General features: G+C 36.6%; 1 annotated feature.

Moving 5' to 3' along the window:
- Nucleotides 13,485–13,685: a silencer, noted in NCBI's record as "peak2646 fragment used in MPRA reporter construct". NCBI's record gives its function as "represses an SCP1 promoter by STARR-seq MPRAs in K562 erythroleukemia cells {active_cell/tissue: K562}" and the evidence as "EXISTENCE:reporter gene assay evidence [ECO:0000049][PMID:32103011]".

The following is a 20,693-nucleotide window of genomic DNA, read 5'->3' on the forward strand; positions in this document are numbered from 1 at the left end:
TAGTGAACTCATCTTTCAAGGATAGCTCCTTCGACTTTCCTCTTCCTGCCCCAGCTTCTGTAGACACCTGAAGGAAGCAAAGCGTAGAAGTAACTTACGGACGTATGCCCTGCACAGTTTCCAGTGACAATGGAGCAGGCTATTAGGTAGAGGCTGTTTCAGGTGACTTTTCCTCTCAGCATGGCCGTTTCTGATTCTCCAAGGTATTGTTGGCCACCTGGGCCATTGAACTGTCTCTACCTCCAGTATTGTTCTGACTTAAACACAGACACAATGGAGGGGAGGAGGGGAGGGATGCACAAGGACCATCTACTCTGATTGCTCCTGTGTATGTAGTCCCTAAAATTCCCCCCATCAGATGGCTCCAGCTTCCCTAATTTCTAGGTTTAGAGTGTGGATGATACCCGTATTTTGTAGTTGAGCTCCCGTTAATATTCCTGAACGCATTTTGCTTTGCTATCACCACTTCAATATGATCCTTTCTGATTTCAGACTTTTAGGGATCGCATACAATTTTCTGGTCCTCCAATGTAGCTACAGATTGACTTATTAGGTTTCACACATATTTCTAATCATCTCTAAGGAGTGGAACAGGGAAAGACAAAGAAGGGGCTCCTGCTTGAGTGCAGTCTACCAAGTACTTCTTGGCTTGAGTCTTTGGTGCTTACAGAGAGAGAGAGAGAGAGAGAGGCAGAAGGGAGAAAGGGAGGGAAGGAGGGAAGGGGAGAGGCAGAATGACAAATTTTAGAGAAAAGTGTGTGTTGTATAATCTTGGAGGGGAATAAGGAAAGGTAAAAAAATACAAAGGCTTGAATCAAATAATAGAATAAATGATCTTCATCAGTTGCATTTTCTCTGCCTCTGAACCTTTTCTGGGGGAGAGGGACAATAAAGAAAAATATTTCCTGAAACAGCAAAATGTGTATTATACTTATGCCCCATGGTACTATATCTTATTTGTCCCAATTCTATGATAAAATTGAAAATTCAAATCTGTTTCTAAAAGAAGCACTGATCACTACTCTGGAATATCAAGCACAGAATACCTATAGTCATGTAGCCAGACGTACCATTTAAAATCACTCAGCAGAAAATTCCAAAAGTTAAATAAGTCTAGCCCCAGTCATCTCTCAGTATAATCGAAAAATAACCTTTTTGGATGGCTGTTGGAAGGGAAGAACATGGAAGGTCTGCAGTTCAATGGAAAGAAAACTGAGGTTGTCTTGTAGTGGAGACCAATGGCAGATAACGTGCTCTGAAAAAGGTGTAAGCCAAATAATCTCCATCATTTTGGTTTCATGGGGAATAAATGAAGATGACTATCTGGATCTCAGTTTTGGCTCCTCTGGTAGCTGGCTTTGTGACCTTGGGTAGGAGGTTTAACCTGTCTATCAGTTCCATCAGTTATAAAAATAGGCATAATTATATTTCCCTCATGGATTGCTATAAAGATTGAGCCAGGTAGTGTCTGTAAATAAGCTAGCTCAATCCCTGACATAATATGAGCTTAATGAATATTATATTTTTTCCTCTTAGTCTGAGTATATCTATTACTTCTGTTGGAAAAGAGTCTTGATTTTAACTACAAATATTGTTGCAGCCAACTGTGAGTTGAGACAGGAGCTTAGAAGAGGGCTCCCATTAGGCTTCTCAGTTTCCCTAAAAATGTCAAATATGGAATTTTAATTTTCCAAGACTCAGAAGTAAGGAGTTGTTCTTACCTCACAGGACTGTGTAAGTAGAAAATTAAACTATGTAAAACACCTTGCACTGTATAGCATTGAACGCATACTGTATGTGGGTGTGGCCCATTGAAGAAATTATTGCCAGCCACAAAGTTATGAACATATTCTCCTAAATCCTGTCTAGCATCGCGATTGTTTTCTCTCTCACAGTGAGAAACCCATCTGGAAAATCCATTTACAACCCATCTGGAATTGATTTTTGTTTATGGTATGGGAAAGGGAGTTTATAATAATTAATGATATTTATAAGACAAAACCAGCAAAATACTCAAGACCACCTAATTGTTCAGTAGACTCTTTTTGATTCATGAGACACTCACGACCTTGTCCCTCCAAAATTACCAGGTTGCCACAGCACTCTGTCTTCCTTCCTTCCTCCTGCCTATGTCAAATTCTCTTTCCCACTCTTCAAGCTTCCTATATAAGCAGACACATCCAGCCAGCAAAAGAGATTGCCTATCTGTCCTTCTGAAGCACTCATCCATCATAAAAGATGGTCCTGGAAAATCTCTAAAAGGTTGAAGTATGGGCTTTTCACAGTGGGAAGAGCCACATCACACCCTGATCCTTCTTTCTAATCTTCTGTTCATATAGGCTTGGCAGGAAATAAGAATTGGATGATGATTGAGGCAGCACAGAGAACTTGGAGACTTCTCTAGGGGTCTAGGGTTTGACCCTAGTCGTTTGGTCTCTGATACCTGCTTCTGGGTTCCGTTTATCAATTACCAGGACACCAGACAAGTGTCACAGGTCAACCTCCCATCATGCTTGGGTGGGCATACAAGGAAGAAAGGGCAGTAAAAACACGTAGCTGAGGCCAAATATATATGGTGACCACTTGTCAGTTTCACCAGCAGATTTACCTGCTCACAGGCTTAGAGAAAGGAGGAGTGCTAGCGCCCCCTGCAGTACAGAATCAAGAATCCCTAGTACCCAGGAGAGCATCAGTGATTCAGACTGAGGGCACATCGGGTAGGAGGCTCTCAGCACCCCTAAAAATTGCAAAACTAAAAAACTTCTCGCAGCTGAGAAGCTGGAGATAATGTTCATTTAAAAAAAACTGAGTAATCTCTGTTGTCAAAGAGCTATGTGACACCTGAAAAAATAGTATGCCAATATTTGGGGAGGAAAAAAAATAAAGCAAAACAGGAATTAAAAGAAAAAGAACACTTCTATCTCAAAAGACACAGCTTTTCCCAATTTTGAAAATGTGAATTACAGCCAACGTATTAAGTCCCTTGAAATTAGCAGGTTATAAAGAGCTGATACAGCCTTATCTAAAGAAAGCAAGAACAGCCCCATTACAACAGAAAAACAAAACAAAAAACTTCTAAATCATGCATGGCCTGAGATAAAGAAAAATTAAGGTCTTTGCATAACATTGCCCCAGAACTAAGCCTAGCAATATATTTTCCTGAGGAACCTGGAATGGGGGCCAAGTCAGATTTTCTTGTGTGGCAGAATACCTAATGGGAATTTTTAGAGCTGTGGATGGCTGGGAATTTTTAGAGCTGTGGATGGCCAGGAATTTTACTAAGAAGCAGGAAAAGTTGTGGGCAAAGAAACAAGAATAATGATGCATGGAGAGAAGTATAGGCAGGGGTTGGGTGTCAGAGAAAAAGAGTTTTCAGAATCTTTCTTTCCAGTTTCTGCTTCCATTTTTCCTGGAGTTCAGCCATTTTCCATCATGCCCGCCATGACTTAACTTTAACTGATTTCATAGCCACTTTTTCAACGAGATGACTGGGATTGGTTTCTCCTACTTTCAACCAAGAATCCTGACCACCATAGTGGGTTTTAGGAGATGGGCCAGTGAGTGGGGAGGCTGTTCTCTGGGCACAGGACCCTGACACAGACATCCCAGCACTGACAAAGCTCATTCCTCCCCAGGGATGCTGAGCTGCTGCAGGAAGCTCTTGAACATCAAGTTATGCCAGCAGAAAAAGACATCAGATTGGAAGAATGTGGGTGATGTTTTGCCTGTGGAGGGGGTGGAGGATAGCCTTGGATCCCTTGAAGCCCCTAGGACATGGGTTTAGCCACCCCATGGCACTACAGAGGGTCACGTGATCTGGAGCTAGCAGGATAGTGCTGGTTTAGAATATTCTGCTGACATCGTCCTAGCTATCGTCACAGTGTTTCCTTAAGCATTAATTTATGGTCACAGTTACTGTAACACAGCTAAAATTTTTTACCATATCTACTCTTTCTAATGGTCTAATAATGAGAAGGTTTTTAGCACACGTGTCACAGGGTCAAGAGAGCAATTACTTTTCATCTGAATTCATAAAACCCTTATTATACTAACACAAAGCACCATATTTTTAATTCCATGTAGTATAAATAAATAAAAAGAAAATAGCCACGAGCATTTTTCTAACCATATGACCTTGAGCAAGTTACGTGAACTCTGTGGAGATCTGTGTACTTTTCTGTAAAACAGATTTACTGAGCATTGCATCATATAATTATTGTGATGATTAAATAAATTTATTCTATAAAGTGCTTAGCACAGTGCCTGGCACATGGTAAAGTGCTGAGTAAATATCAGCTCTTTTTATTACTGGAAGTACCTGGCTTTCCCCATTGACTTGATTTCAGAGGCAGATGAATTCTCCCTTATCCAAAATTATTTCATACACCACTCTGGCCACCAGAGATTCATTCACACTTTGAGTTGTCAAATAATTTCTATTGTTATGCAGAAAATCCTAGTAGAAACCATAAAATGCTACTTAATAGTCATTCAAGCTTTTTATAAAATAGTTTTCAAAGTAAATTGTTTCCTTTATGGGTTTTAATGACGAGAAGGATGAGATTAACCACAGGACTCTGGAGAGAGGTACAGATTTGGGGGATTTACATGGGGGTGGACTGATATCACAATGATCCCTAATTTTCTATATTCACCAGGCAGATGAGCTGGTCTCAGAAATACTCAAGTCTCAAAATCTTTGGAACATATGCTTCCATATCAGGTACATGGGTTTTTTCTGCCATCTAGTGGCCACCTTTGATAAAGACAGTCATCTTTATGTGAGCAAAGGTTTCCCACCTAGAGCACTACATAGGAAACTCCCAGGCTCCCAGGCATCTTTTTCAGTTTACACTTTTCAGGGAGTTCCCCTAAAATTGCCTCTGAAATTGGAATAAAAGCAAAGGTCCTAGTCCTCAGGGAGGCACAAAGCTAGGATAAGTTGTTAGAATAGCACTAGCTGAGCCACTGATTCTCTGGGTGGCTGCCAGCTAAGTCTCTTTTCCTTCCCCAACCTGTTTTCTCATCTATAAGATAAATCACACTGGCGGGTCCCTGTTAGCTCTAATACTCTGGTGTTCTGAGTCCCTCCAATTTTAAATCTTTATTTGGACAAGCATGTCTATACTTGCCTCATTAATTAAAGTAAATCGAGGAGAAATTATAACATCTAGACAACGAAGTTGCTATTCCCTAGGACAACTCAGCGATAAGGTAGTTGAGTATCATGTTTCTGACATCATCTTCCTCTTGGGGAAGGTTTTCCTTTTCAATTTCCTTGTAGAGACTGTATGAATCATGGCTTCATTTATCCTAAAGTCCATAAGTAAAATGCAGATTATCAATGAGCAAGTTGTTTATTTCAAATATGTAGATACTCCTTGACAAATTCTCAAAAGGTTTTATCGCACTGATAATGGACAGTAATCTATTTGATGGGGTTTATTTAAATCGCAATTTTCTATTCTCCGTGCCACAGAAATGGCTTAAGTCCTCCCAAGCTTTTATTCGAAGGACTGACATATTCTCATTAGCATCCCACCTGCTTCTAAAATCTCTTTCCTTTCATCGTTATTCCATCCAAAAATCAGGAGAGAATAATCTTTTTCATTCTTCTTTTTAATTGACAAATAAAAATTATATATATTGATGGTGTCCAACATGCTGTTTTGATATATGTATAGATATTGTGAAATGGCTAAATCAAGCTAATTAAATATGCATTACCTTCACATACTTAACATTTCTTTTTTTTTTTTTTTTTGCAATACAAACACTTAAAATCTACTCTCTTAGCAATTTTCAAGTTTGCCATACTTCTACCCAAAGATTCCACTGGCTTCCTGCCACCATCCTTCAGTCTAAAACTGTATCATGCTGTTCCTGGCATTCTTTGATCAGGGCCTATGAGAGAAATTTATTTCCTGCTTCCTGGGCATTCAGATTCCCAGCAGCTGCAACAACCTGAACTTCCTTTGGACAATTACTCCTTATGATGACTTGAGTGATCTTGGCCTCACTTTCAAGCCCAGGGTGAACCTTCATTGCCTTGGCCCATTCTAAATGAATCATTTCCTGGCCATAGTGATTGGTTCTGGCATGGACACATATCTAACCAGAGTCAATGAGATTTCCACTGAGACTTCTGAGAAATAGATTCTCTCCCATCCCTTCTGGACTTAAAGCAAGACATATGTAGCCACAGAAGCAGCTAGAGCCCTCTTGAGACCTGGAGGGAGAAACTGCTAGAAAATGGAGTATACATCAAGGAAGAAGAGGAAGGAATGAAGAAAGAAACTGAATCTTGGCCACATCATTGGAGCCCTGGATCAACCCTCACCTGAAGATTGCCCTCACCTTCTTTTCAACTCACCAATGAAGTGTTTTCATTGTTTAAGGCAGTTCAAGTTGGGTTTTCTGCAATTTAAAATAATAATAATACTAATAAAATCTATAGCTCATGTGGGTTCCAAGCAACCTTTCCATGTGTTTCACCTTAGTTTTCATAGATGCTTTTCTTCCAGTTTTGCCAAACTAATGGAGAATACTCAGGCAGAAGAGACAGTGTGGTTTACTCTAAGAACTCATCCAAGTTCTGAGAGTACTGAGTTGATCATTAATAATTGGACCTAGGTATGTGGGAGAAGGCAGAGACAAGGGTGACCCCAAGGTGAGGGACATAAGTCACTGTGGGACTAACTTCTGGTAACATTAAGAGAAGAAACAAGTTTGGGAAAAGGAGATGAGTTTCCATTTGGAACAACTTGAATTTAAGTAGACTTATCCTTTTGAGCTGCAAACGTTGACCTGTCTGCATCCTCCAGAAAACTGGAAGTTTGTTAAGGGCAGGGACTGTGGGCTCTAAATCTTCAATCATCTCCCACAGGACCCCAATAAATATGTATTCTAATAATAAGAAAATAAAATCAATGAAATATAAGTTACCCAAAAATAATTAGAGAACAGTGAAGTCCCAGTCTCCTCTTTGGGCCTGATGATTACGTCTGTCAAATGTTCAGAAAAATTCTGAGATGCCTGCTGGAGAGAACGAGTTCTGTCAGTAGAGGAGGCAGCATTGAAGCTGTACTTGTAATATTTATTTGGAAGGAGAGGAGTACCCCATCCCGGAGGAAGGGCTTGAGCAAAGGCACTCCTGCTCCCTATCTGACTGGGGAATACCACTTGTAGGGTACAGAATCATACCATTATTTCAGAAAACTGAGGAGAGAGCTGGAGTAATACTACCAGTAAGAGATCCCACTTCACCTGACAATGACCCATCAGAGTGGTCAGAGAATCAGAGGCTACACAGAAGGGACTGTGCTTGGAGAAATAGGTCACAGATAATTAAACAAAAGAAGAATTTTTGTTTGTTTGTCTTTGAGACGGAGTTTTGCTCTTACGCCCAGGCTGGAGTGCAGTGGCCAGCGATCTCAGCTCACTGCAAACTCTGCCTGCTGGTTTCAAGCAATTCTCCTTCCTCAGCCTCCCGAGTAGCTGCGATTACAGGAGTCCACCACCACGCCCAGGTAATTTTCATATTTTTAGTAGAGACGGGGTTTCACCATGTTGGCCAGGCTGGTCTCGAACTCTTGACCTCCTGATCCACCGACTTGGCCTCCCAAAGTGCTGGGATTACAGGCGTGAGCCACCACACCCGACCAAAGAGGACTCTCTTTAATAATGCCCGTTTTTGTAGGAGTAAGATGGAATCTCATTGTGGTTTTAATTTGCATTTCCCTGATGATTAGTGATATTGAGCATTTTTTATATGATTTTTGGCCATTTGTATGTCTTCTTGAGAAATGTCTATGGTGGGAACGTAAATTAGTCCAACGTCTATGGAAAACAGTATGGAGATTACTTAAATAACTAAAAGTAGGTCTACCATCCAATCCAGAAATCCCACTACCCAAAGGAAAAGAAGCCATATAAAAAAAAGACACATGCACTCATATGTTTATTGTAGCACAATCCACAGCTGCAAAGATGTGGAACCAACCTAAGTGCCCATTGGCCCATGAGTGGATAAAGAAAATATGGCATATATACATCATAGAATACTACTCAGCCCTAAAAAGGAATGAAATAATGTCTTTTCCAGCAACTCGAATGGAGCTGGAGGCCATTATTCTAAGTGAAGAAACTCAGGAATGGAAAATCAAATACCATATGTTCTCACTTATAAGTGGGAGCTAAGCTATGAAGATGCAAAGGCATGCAGAGTGATTTAATGGACTTTGGAGACTCGGAAGAAGGTGGGAGAGGGATGTAGGATAAAAAACTACATAGTAGATAGAACAAGCACTACTCGGATGATGGGTGCACTAAAATCTCAGAACTCGCCACTGTATAATTCATCCACTTAACCAAAAACCATTTGGGGGCCAAAAGCTATCGAAATAAGATATATGTGATATCATATATATATGTTAAAATATTTTTTAAAAAGAAGATTCTAAACAGCAACTTTCTACCTCCTTCAGCTGACTCAGGAGACCATTAAGTGTGTCTCTATTGAAATCCAAAGAAGGAGAAATGAGGCAGATAGTGCTGATGCTATGGGCTTCTTTTTTCTGATTACATACAAGATGGAGTGAAGGAAGAAGTGACTTTGACCCATTCCGATAAACAAATCCAGAAGTCAATTGCATTGGTTTGTTGTCTTAATGATAAAGGAATTTTCCAGGGGGAAAGTTATAAGGAAAATATCTATTTAAAGAGGAAAAGTCTAACACCCATAATTGTTTCAAATTTAAGAAAAAAAAATCTTCAAAAGGAAAGCATTACTTCTAAGCTACGCGTTCCATATGCATTTTAAAAAGAAAATATGGGACAACCTAAAGCAGCTTTCTGTCAGCTATTGGAAATTTGCATGAGAATGATCAAAAAGGCCCTCTTCCCTCTCTCTGAGATGTATAAAGTCGTATCAGTCTCTTCTCAAAAGGCTTTCTGAGTAGGCAGTTACTCCTCTATCAAAACTGTTTACACTTGCAGGCAATATAACTCTCATGGCTGGTTTTATGAATTTCTTAGCCGTCTGAAAGGAAGTAGTTTGAAACATTAGAAAACCTATTCAAATCTTATTTTGCTGGCAGCAGGTAACTTGGAAATGGTTTTGTGCTCCTTCTTCTTTCCTAATTCTTTGAAGAGTGATGATACTGACGGGCTTCATTACTTCCACAGGGAAACAGATCTGGAGACCTGTGAAGACAAAGTTACTCACCCGTCATGTGAGGGTGTCATACACATGCTAGGTGTCATACAACACCTAGCATGATGAATGCTGCAATTTACACCGTCTAAGTTTTTGGTGGCCAGATGAGATTTATCCAAAAGAATACTGAGATAATTGTGGCCTGGAAATTGCTCATGTTTTTGCATTTTAATAGGAACACTGTAAGGGAGAGCTAAAGTGGGGAGGAATAGTAGATAAGGCGTGGGATTGGGTGGCATGAAATCTCACATGCGAATTCAAGTTTGACTTGGCTAAATAATTTAAACTTTCTAAACATCTGTGTACTTCAACTCTAAAATGGGTTGGCTATATCCATTCCAAAGGGTTGTTCTGGAGATGAAACAAGATAATGTATCTATATGTAATATATGTACATATTATATAAGATAATGTATATATGTAATATATACATAATATATAACATAATGTATATATATCAGACATTCTCTCTATATTACACAATATTGGTTCGATGGATTGATGGTGGTGGTGGTGGCAGTGGTGTTATTATTCTTACTATCCTTTAAGTATCCAATGAAAGAAAACATTTAAGTGAGTTAGTCAATTCTGAATTATCCATGATGATGGCAAAGGGTTAGAGTAGGAATTAATGTCATAGACAAGTAACATTATTCAAACATTATTGAAAACCAGCATTGTTTAATGTAGGATTTAATTATTGTTATGTTATTTAAAGTTAATGTATACTCATTTTCAAATATGTTTTAACATATAAAAAGCTGTTCATTTTTAAGTATACAACTTGATGAGTTTGGGGATAAGTATATACCCATAAAACTCTCACCACTACCAAGGCACAAATATATCCATCACCTCCCAAAATTTCCTCCTGTCTTCTTTATTATTATTATTTTTGGTGGTAAGAACACAACACCTACCCTTTTAGCAAATTTTAAGCATACAATACAATATTGTTAGCTGTAGGTTTTATCGTGTATAGCAGCTCACCAGAACTTACCTTGTGTAAATAAAACCTTGTAGGCATTAACCACTCCCTCTCCAACTACCCCTCACCTCAACTTCTAGCAACCACCATTCTACTCTCTGCTTCAGGGTTTCGCTATTTTAAATTTCACATGTAAGTGAGATCATACAGTATTTGGTGTTCACTGGGCAGAATGCCCTCCAGATCCATTCATGTTGTCACCGATGGCAGAATTTTATTCTTTTTTAAAGATGGATAATATTGCATTGTAGGTATGCACCATGTTTTTTTAATTCACTCATCCATCAGTGAATATTTTGGTTGTTTCTTTTTCTTGGCTATTGTGAATAGTGCTGCAATGAACATGGGAATGCAGATATCTCTTCAAGATCCTCATCTCAATTCCCTTGTATATATACCTAGAAGTGGCGTTGCTGGATTATACGGTAGTTATATATTTAATGTTTTGAGGAATATACACTGTGGTTTTCATAACAACTGGACCAATTTAAATTCCCACCAAGAGTGTACAAGTGTTTTATTTTCTCTGCATTCTCACCAACATTTATGTTTTGGGTTTTGTTTTTTTTTTTAATAGCAGCCATCCTAACAGGTATGAGGTGATATCCTATTGTGGTTTTGGTTTGCATTTCCCTGATGATCAGTGATGTTGAGCACGTTTCTATATACCTGTTGGCCATTTGTATGTTTTCTTTGGAGGAACGGCTATTCAGAACCTTTGACCACTTTTCAAATCAGGTTATTTGCTTTTTTTGCTATTGACTTGTATGTGTTCTTTATATATTTTGAATATTAACCAAATATGTTTTCAAATATTTAAATGACAATTGTATAAAGTGGGAAATGAAAGTATCTTAGAATTTTGTAACTTCTTGCTCTATGATATGGGAATTATACTCTCAAATTTATTTTTGTGTACATATAAAATTAGTTTTAGAACAAAATAATAGCTTTTGACTCGACATTAAGGCTTGATCTTGGTGAGATGATGGACCATTTTATCTCTAGGGCCTTATCTTTGAGGTAGAGTCCATTGGGAACTTTAAAGTTTTGGTTCAGTTTATGAGCCAATAGCAAATTAGGCTTTCAGAGGAACAGAGGGGATGTGAGTTTTCTATTACCAAATAGTCTAAAAACATTAGTATTTCTTGTTGAACTTCACAAAGTAATGACTTTTGTCAAAGGATAATTTCAAAAAGTTAAAACCAGGATTTTCATATAAACATAAAATAAAGACATACAAAGATTCCTTTGTACACCTCATCTTCAATTTAGAATTTAAGGAACAGAAATTTAAATAGTCACTCAATGGAATGTGAAAATTAATTTGTTAATAGATACAAACCCGCTTAATGTTAAAGATGACGAAACAGTCACCTTTAGCGTTTAGAGTTCTGATCAAACAAATCTAAAACTTAACGCACAAAATTATATTATCAATGTTCCCATCAAACAATAAAGAACAAAATTAAACACAGGTGCATTGTCTTAAATAAATAATCCTTGGATGAGACCTCTTAACAGTGACCTTCATTTGACACTGAAAATACAGGATCTCATCTTTTGCTTTATTTCTAAATTTTGAATGTTAATTTTTCTTAATACTTTTTTTCACCTGTTCTTGTTTGTTATGATCATGGTCCCTATTATCTTTTGACTGTTAAAATCCTCTCTTCTGATGTGTCTTTTATTTTTTTATGTCTTTTATAATAGAAAAAAATATTTTATAAAGAAACAAGATGTCAAATTTTGTTCACTTGTTCTTTTTATTTTATAGATAGGTAAAATGGAAATGGAGTCCATTTTATCTCCTATTCTAGAGCTGATTCCATCAAAACTAAAGATTAACTATTAAACTCTTATTACAACTTTTTGCATATTTCTTTAAATTTTAAGCTTAGAATAAATTCCTCTCACTGGGAGCAGTGGCTCACGCCTGTAACCCCAGCACTTTGGGAGGCCGAGGATAGTGGATCATCTGAGGTCAGGAGTTCAAGACCAGCCTGGCCAACATGGCGAAACCCTGTTTCTACTAAAAAATACAAAAAATTAGCCTGGTGTGGTGGTGGGCACCTGTAATCCCAGCTACTCGGAAGGCTGAGGCAGGAGAATCACTTGAACCCAGGAGGTGGAGGTTGCAGTGAGCCGAGATCACGGCACTGCTCTCCACCCTGGGCAACAAAATAAGACTCCGTCTCAAAAAAAAAAAAAAAAAAAAGAATAAATTTCTCTCATGCCCTATCCCACCCCAAGACCATATAAAATGTCTCTCTTTTATGCCCCACTGCACTTGTGACCCTAAGATGATATACTTCCTAGCCACCTGCCACCACCCACATGCCCTTCCATTAACTTGGAATCTTTAAGGGCAAAAATTGTCTTAGTTCCCTGCTCCTCATGGCCTGATTTATATTAGGCACTTAATAAGTTACACTTTAATTATTTACTGATGTATGGACACTATTCTTATGGTCAACGAAGAAAATGAAAAAACTGTTTAATGTAAAAATACAAACCGAAAATAAATTTAAAACTTCTTTCCTCATATCTCCCTCATGTTTTTGTTTTAGTCATTAAACAAAACTTACTCTGTCACTCAATCTAAACATCCTAACACTCTTCACCTTTTAGTGTATTTACACAATTAATTAGTAATTTTGCTGTTACCTTAATTACTCTTCCTTAGGTAAAGCATAGCACAATGGTCAAATCTGAGTTTCTCAACTCAAAGTTGAGCTTAGGTGTTCAAAACCAGCTTTACTGAATGTAAACATGTGTTTAACTTTGTTTTATATTCAATAGTTATAAAGGGATGTTTCCCCTCTCTGAGCTTAAAAAAAAAATCCCTCCTAATTTTTTAGAAAGAACTGAATAAGAAAGTCTTCCTTATCATAAAGCAATTTTGTGGTGCAACTAAGGCTAATTCTTGACACTCAAAGTAGTAGATGAGAGATTAGATGATGCAGTGACAAGTCAGTACATATGCCCAACCAGTGTGACAAAATGTCCCCATCCGTCTTGGTTCCAAAATTCGTGGCTGATGGGAACAAGCACAAGTAGACCAGAGTTAGATAATTCTTGCTGCGTAATGCACCCATATGAGGCAATCAAAGACCAAGGATTACTAGGCAACTTAGAAGTATTACATAAAGGCCAGGCGCGGTGGCTCATGCCTGTAATCCCAGCACTTTGGGAGGCTGAGGCAGGCGGATCACAAGGTCAGGAGTTTGAGACCAGCCTGGCCAATATGGTGAAACCCCGTCTCTACTAAAAATACAGAAATTAGCTGGGCGTGGTGGCGTGTGCCTGTGGTCCCAGCTGCTTGGGAGGCTGAGTCAGAGGAGTCACTTGAAGCCAGGAGGTGGAGTTTGCAGTGAGCCGAGACTGCACTGTTGCACTCCAGCCTGGGTGACAGAGCAAGACTCTGTCTCAAAAAAAAAAAAAAAGTGTTACATAAAATACTACGCAATACCACACTACCATAATGAGAACTGAAAGAAGCTAATGTGCTGGAGAAACAAGAAGCCAAGCCTTCCCCTACTGTTGTTAATATCACTGGGAGGGCAACATAATAAGTGCTCAGTGAACGTCTGCTCATTCTACTACTCTCTCGCCTGCCATCACAGGCCCAGGCCAGATCACCATCTGAGAGGTCTTACACATACCCTAAAAGTTACCAGGTAAGGAGGAGCATGGTGACTTGGGGCAATTGGAAGTGAGTTTCCTCTTTCTTTTCTGTAGGAATTGTCCAGTGCCGTGCTAGTTAACAATCAGCACTCCCAAGAATGGGAGTGGACAGCCTTGGATTTTACAATTTGCCAATTTCTATGGTGTAAATACTTTCATCATCTCATTGCCAATCTCAAGCTACTAACCTGAGTTTGCTGAAATACATCCTATTAAATATATTAGACGTATCAGATATTTCAGCTTCTCCCTTCAGTAACTTATAAAAATAAACAGAAAATTACTTAGTATTTAGAAAACATAAACAACACAATCAACATGATCAACAGCAGAATAACAATTATTTTCTTTTGCAAATGGAACATTCTCCAATAGGGATGATATTTTATGACATAAATTTCAAATATATAAAAGGATTCAAATAATCCAGACTACGCTGTCTAATCACAGAGAATTAAATCTATAACTGAAATTATTTGAAAATGTTCAGAAATTTACAAGTTAAACAGCACACTTCTGAATAACCCACAGAAAACAAAGAAGAAATCACAGAGGGAATTAGAATATATTTTGTACTGAATAAAAAACCAAAACATTTCAAAATTTGTGGAATAGGACTTAAAACAGTGTTGAGTACAATTTATAGCTTTAAATGCTTAAACTAGAAAAAGTAGAAAGATTTCATATTAGCAACCCTAAGATTGTCACATTAAGATGCTGGAAACGAAGTATATATTACAATGAAATTTAAGAAAAAGATAAATATGAGTACAAATCAAAGGAGAGAAAACTAGAGAATTTCAGTTAAACCAAAAGGTTATATTTTGAAAAGGGCAACCCACTAGGTTTATTAATCAAGGAGAAATTTGAAAAGGTGCAGATGACCGTTATCTGGAATAATAAAAGAATATCACTACAGATTTTACATACATAAAAGTAGAATAAAAAATTAAGAAAATTTTTATGCTAATTAATTTGAAAGCTTAGATGAATTGGGCAAATTTACCTTGAAAAATAAAAATTACCAAAAGAGGGCCAGATGCAGTGGTTCATGCCTGTAATCCCACACCTTGGGAGGCCGAGGCAGGTGGATCAGCTGAGGCCAGGAGTTCGAGACCAGCCTGGCCAACATCATGAAACCCTGTCCCTACTAAAAAATATTTTTTAAAAATTAGCCGGGCATCGTGGCAACTGCCTGTAGTCCTAGCTAGGAGGCTGAGGCAGGAGAATCGCTTGAACCTGGGAGGTGGAGGCTGCAGTGAGCCAAGATCACACCACCACACTCCACCACAGGTGGCAGAGCAAGACTCCATCTAAACAAACAAACAAAATTTAAAAAAAAAAAATTACCAAAATACACTCAAGAATAAATACAAAATTTCAATAGCATGGAAATCATTAAAGAAACAGACTTTGCATATTGAATTGGTTTTACAATGTAAATAGTTTGTTTAACTGAATTCAAATGAATACTTACGAAAGAAATAATACACTCACAAACACTTTAAGAAAATAAAAGAGAAATAGGCCAGGCACGGTGGCTCACACCTGTAATCCCAGCAGTTTGGGAGGTCGAGGCGGGCAGATCACGAGGTCAAGAGATCGAGACCATCCTGGCCAACATGGTGAAACCCCATCTCTACTAAAATACAAAAATTAGCTGGGCATGGTGGCACTGGCCTGTAGTCCCAGCTACTTGGGAGGCTGAGGCAGGAGAATCGCTTGAACCAGAGGTCAGAGTTTGCAGTGAGCCGAGATCGTGCCACTGCACTCCAATCTGGCGAAAGAGCCAGACTCTGTCTCAGAAAAAAATTTTACAAAAATAAAAAACCTCCCTGGTGATTCTTTGCTGAAGTCCTCCCTAGCCCCTGCACTAGACAAACACTGGTCTGCTTTCTATCAAAATACATTTGATTTTTTTTCTAGCATTTCTTACAAATGGAATCAAAAAGTGTGTACTTTTTTGTATCTGGCTGTTTTGCTCAGCAAAATACTTTAGAGATTCATGCTGTTGTTATACGTATCAATAGTTCAGTTGTTTTTATTGCTGAGTAGTATTATGAATATACCACAATTCATTGTCCATTATCTTCTTGTTGGATATTTGGAGCTTTTCTCCAGTTTTTATTTACTATAAAGAAAGTTGCTGTTAGCATGTGTGCAGAAATAATTTTGTGGGCATATGTTTCATGGTAAATACCTGAGAATAAAATGGGTGAGTCATGCAGTAAGAGTGTGTATTTATACCTCATAAGAATCTACCAAAGCATTTTTCAAAGTTGCACCATCTTGCATTCCTGCCAGCAATGGGGAAGAGTTTGTTTCTGCAAATTTCCTCGAGCAATTTGTATTGTAAGTTTTTCTTAAATATTAGCAATTCTAGCTAGTATGTGGTCAATTCTTACTCTAGATACAATGTGCCTTTTTAGGACTGATTATTATGGTAAGCATTTTTTCATGGACTTATTGGCCTTTTGTGTCTTATTTGATCAAGTTTCTGTTTAAATCTTTTTTATTGAATTGTTTGCTTTCATATTATTGAGTTTAATATGTCCTTTTAAAATTTTTGTATTATGGGTACAAGTTATTTGATGCGCACAGGTATTTTTTCAGTCTATTGCTTGCATTTTCATTTGCTAACACTGTCTTGAGCAGATTTTCATATTTTTCAAGTTCAGTTTCTCATTGTTTTGGTTGATGATTCATGATTTTGTGACAAAACGAATAAATCATTATATATACACCAAGATTGTAGAATTTTTCTTCTATGTTTTCCACAAGAAATACCATTTTAGCTTTTATGTTAAGCTGTATAATATACTGTAAATTAAATTTTTGTATGGTGTTATATAAGGGTTGCAGTTCATTTTCTCCATGTGAATGTCCACTGTTCCAATTCTATTTGTTGGTAAGATTAGCATCTCTTCAATTAATTAGATTGGTATCTTTGTTGAACCATACAGGTGTGGAGAAATCAGGACTGTGTGATTTGATAAATTGATCTATATATTTATATTTACATCAATACGTGATCTTTGTTACTTTAGCTTTACAGTAAATATTAAAATAATGTAGTTTAAGTCTATCTTTGTTCCTCAGAAACGTCTTGGCTATTCTAAAATACTGGCATTTTCATATCAAAATAATTTTGTAATTTGTCTTTACAAACCATTCTAGGTTTTATATTAGGATTATGTAAAATTCAGTAGATAATTTTAGGGAGAATTTATATTTTGATAATGAGAAGTTTCCAATTGTTGGACATAGTGAATATCTCAATTTACTAAATCTTCTAAGTTCCTCCAGAAAAAAAAAATGATTTTACAGTGGATAATTAAGGCATATGTATTATTATAATTATATAAGCATATATATCATTATAATTATTCCTAAGTATTTTAAGTTTTTATGCTATTGCATATGGTATTTATCTTTTAAGATTCCATATTCCTTTCCTTCATTAATTTTCTGTGTGTGTGTGTGTATGTATCTACCTGTATTATTGCTGTGTGTATATCCATATGTAATTGATTTTGGTATTCTTTAACCTTGTTACAGTCACATGTATATAACTTAAAATGTCTATATACAATGCCATATTGTTTCAGAATAAAAGAGATATTTTCATTACTAATATTTAGGGGTTTTTATTTATTTCTCTTTTTTTTCTATTTATACTAGCTTTAAATATGCAATGTAATCTTGAGCAAAAGTGACAATAACAGACATCCTTGACTTTCCCCTAATCTTAGGGAGAAAGTAGTCGGTCTTTCCCCATAAAGGCTAAAGTTAACTGCAGGTTTTTCTTCCATGTTCTCATCATCTTAAGTACATTTTCCTTTATTCCTAGTTGATAAGAATGTCTTTAATGAATAGTAATCAAATTTTGTGATATTCTTCTTCACTTTTGATATGTCAATATATTGAATTCAATAGTCTACAGATTTTTGAATCCATATTCTTGAAGAAATTTGACCTGCTTTTTCATTTTTATAATGTTTGCTATAGTTTTATTATTATGGTAATTATCAAATTATAAAGTTGAAAAGTTTTTCCCTTTTTTTGCTTTTCTGAACAAAATTATACAACATTTGTAATACTTGTTACTTAAATATTTGAATCCACCATTGATGTCATCTAGGCCTGGAATTTTTATGGGAAAACTTTTAATTATAAATCTAATTTACTTAGTGATATAGAGCCCTCAGGTTTGTTCCATTCCTTGTGAATAAATATTTGTATTGGCGTCTTTCAGTAATTTTTCCTCTATATTCTCAAAGTTTTTGCCATTAAAGTGCTCATAGTAGTTTCTTACTACCCATGTATGTCTATGCCATCTCTAATCATGTTACCTTCTTTCAGCCCTACTATTGGTAATTTGTCTCCTGTTTTATCATTTAAGCAAAAGTTTCAGTAATTTTATGGATCTTTTCGAAAAATATATATATTGTTGCATTGATTTTCTCTTTTGGTTGTATGTTTTCTGTCTCACCAAATTTCACTCTTATCTTTATTATTCCCTTACTTCTTAGTTACTTCAGGTTTAATTTCCTTCTTATTTTCCAGCTTCTTAAAGTTCACATGTAGACTATTGATTATAGGCATTTCTTCCTATGTACATAAGCATGTAGTTATACACTTTCTTATAAGCACTGCTTTGTATCTTCCAAATTATTTGTTGTGTCTTTATTTTCATTCAGTTCAAAATATTTTCTAATATTCCATCGAGATTTATTATTTGATCCACGTGTCAATATGAAGTGTGTTGTCTTAATTTTCAATAGAGATTTCACAGATATTTTTGTTAATAATTTCTATTTTAATTCTATTGTAATCGAAGAACACCTTCTTTATAATTTTACTTATTAAAAACGTATTAAAGCTTGTTTTATCTTCCAGCATATGCTGTACCTTGTGAGTGTCCCATGTACACTTTAAAAGGATGTATACTCTACTATAATTGGGAGGAGTATTTTTACAAATGTCAATTAAGTTGATTTGGCTGATAGTTGTTCACATTAGCTATACCCTTTCTTGTTTTCTACCTTAGTGTTCTGTCAATTACTGAGCATGGAGTGCTGAAATCTCCAACTATAATTAGGGATTTGTCTATTTCTCCTTTATTTTCTGTCAATTTGACATTTGTGTATTTTGAAGTTTTGCATTCATATATGTATATTTAGGATTGTTGTGTCTTCTGGATGAAAACATATTCTTGAACTTTGTATCATCATGATATGTCCTGTTTTAATATTTCTTATTTTGAAGTATTTTTTTCTGATAGTAACATAGACCCTCAGATGTTATAATACCTGCATTATCTCATAGTTTAAAATGTTTTGACATTTTACTTTTAAATGATCTGCTTTTTTTTTGTATATTTACAGGAGTCCCTTTTTTTGTTGGTGTTTATTTATTTATTTATTTATTTATTTATTTATTTATTTTTGAGATGGAGTTTCGCTCTTTTTGCCCAGGCTGGAGTACAATGGCATGATCTTGGCTCACTGCAGCCTCCACCTCCCAAGTTCAACTGATTCTCCTGCCTCAGACTCCCAGGTAGCTGGGATTACAGGCACATGCCATCACACCCAGCTAATTTTATATTTTTAGTAGAGACAGGGTTTCACCATGTTGGCCAGGCTGGTCTCGAACTCCTGACCTCAAGTGATCCACCCACCTCAACTTCCCAAAGTGCTGGGATTAGAGGCATGAGCCACCACGCCTGGCCCATTTATATTTTTACAGACCACATAATTACATTGAGATCTTGTAGTGAGCCTATATTTAGGCCCTGATGTTATATACAGTTGGACAATCTCTGTTTTAATTCTACTATTTATTTGTATTTAATGCAATTTTTAACATAGTTGAATTAGTGTCTTGCATCTTGCTGTTTGTTCTCTATTTGTCCAATCTGTTCTTTATTGTTTTGTTCCTCTTTTTCATCTTTCTTTTGGATGGCATACACTTAGTATTCCACTTTATCTCAACTCTTGGCCTATTATTTCTTTGGCATTAAATTTCTTTGGCATTTCTGTATTTTTTTCCCCATGTCAACAAAATGCTTCTTTCATTCCTCACAATATATCTTCAAATAATAATTCTTCATGTAAAATGTGAGAGCCTTAAAGTAATGTGCTATCATGTATAACTTCAGTCATTTGTGTTATTGCTGCCACACATTTTATTTCTACAAATATTATAAACCCCACAATACATCGGTTTTGCATTTAGATAAGTCAATTATATTCTTAAATGAGAAAATATACTTTACTATTTATCCACAATAGTAAAAGTCTTTTAGATTTTGGAAGCAACACATACCACATTTCAGTGTGTGACTTTGACTCATTTACAGAATTACCTGTAGATTTCAAGTGAGAAGAACAAAAGAAAGTGAGTTCAGACTGCAGGTTAAGCTAATCCACCACTTGGGGCTTATGATCCAGCAGACCCATAGATTGTCAAACTGTCCATGGCAAATAAGGATGCTCTACAGAGCATCTGGCAAGCAACAATAGGACAAAAAAAAAACACTACACAGATGTGTAAGATTTTGAAATAAATCTATCCTCTCTTCTGTAGTTAATGATTCTTCTTTTGAACAGGTTTGGGACCAGGCCTTGGTAAAGAATGAGCACCTAACTATGGGATGTCAGGTGATTGCACAGCCTGAGATTTCGATCATGGGCTGGGTGTTGGATACTCACCTAGCTATAAGGTTGGGTGCTTTATTTATTTATTTTATTAATATTATTATTATTATTTTTGAGATGGAGTTTCACTCTTTTGCCCAGG

This window comes from Homo sapiens, chromosome 16 (genome assembly GCF_000001405.40).
Source record: "Homo sapiens chromosome 16, GRCh38.p14 Primary Assembly".
Lineage (NCBI taxonomy): Eukaryota > Metazoa > Chordata > Mammalia > Primates > Hominidae > Homo > Homo sapiens.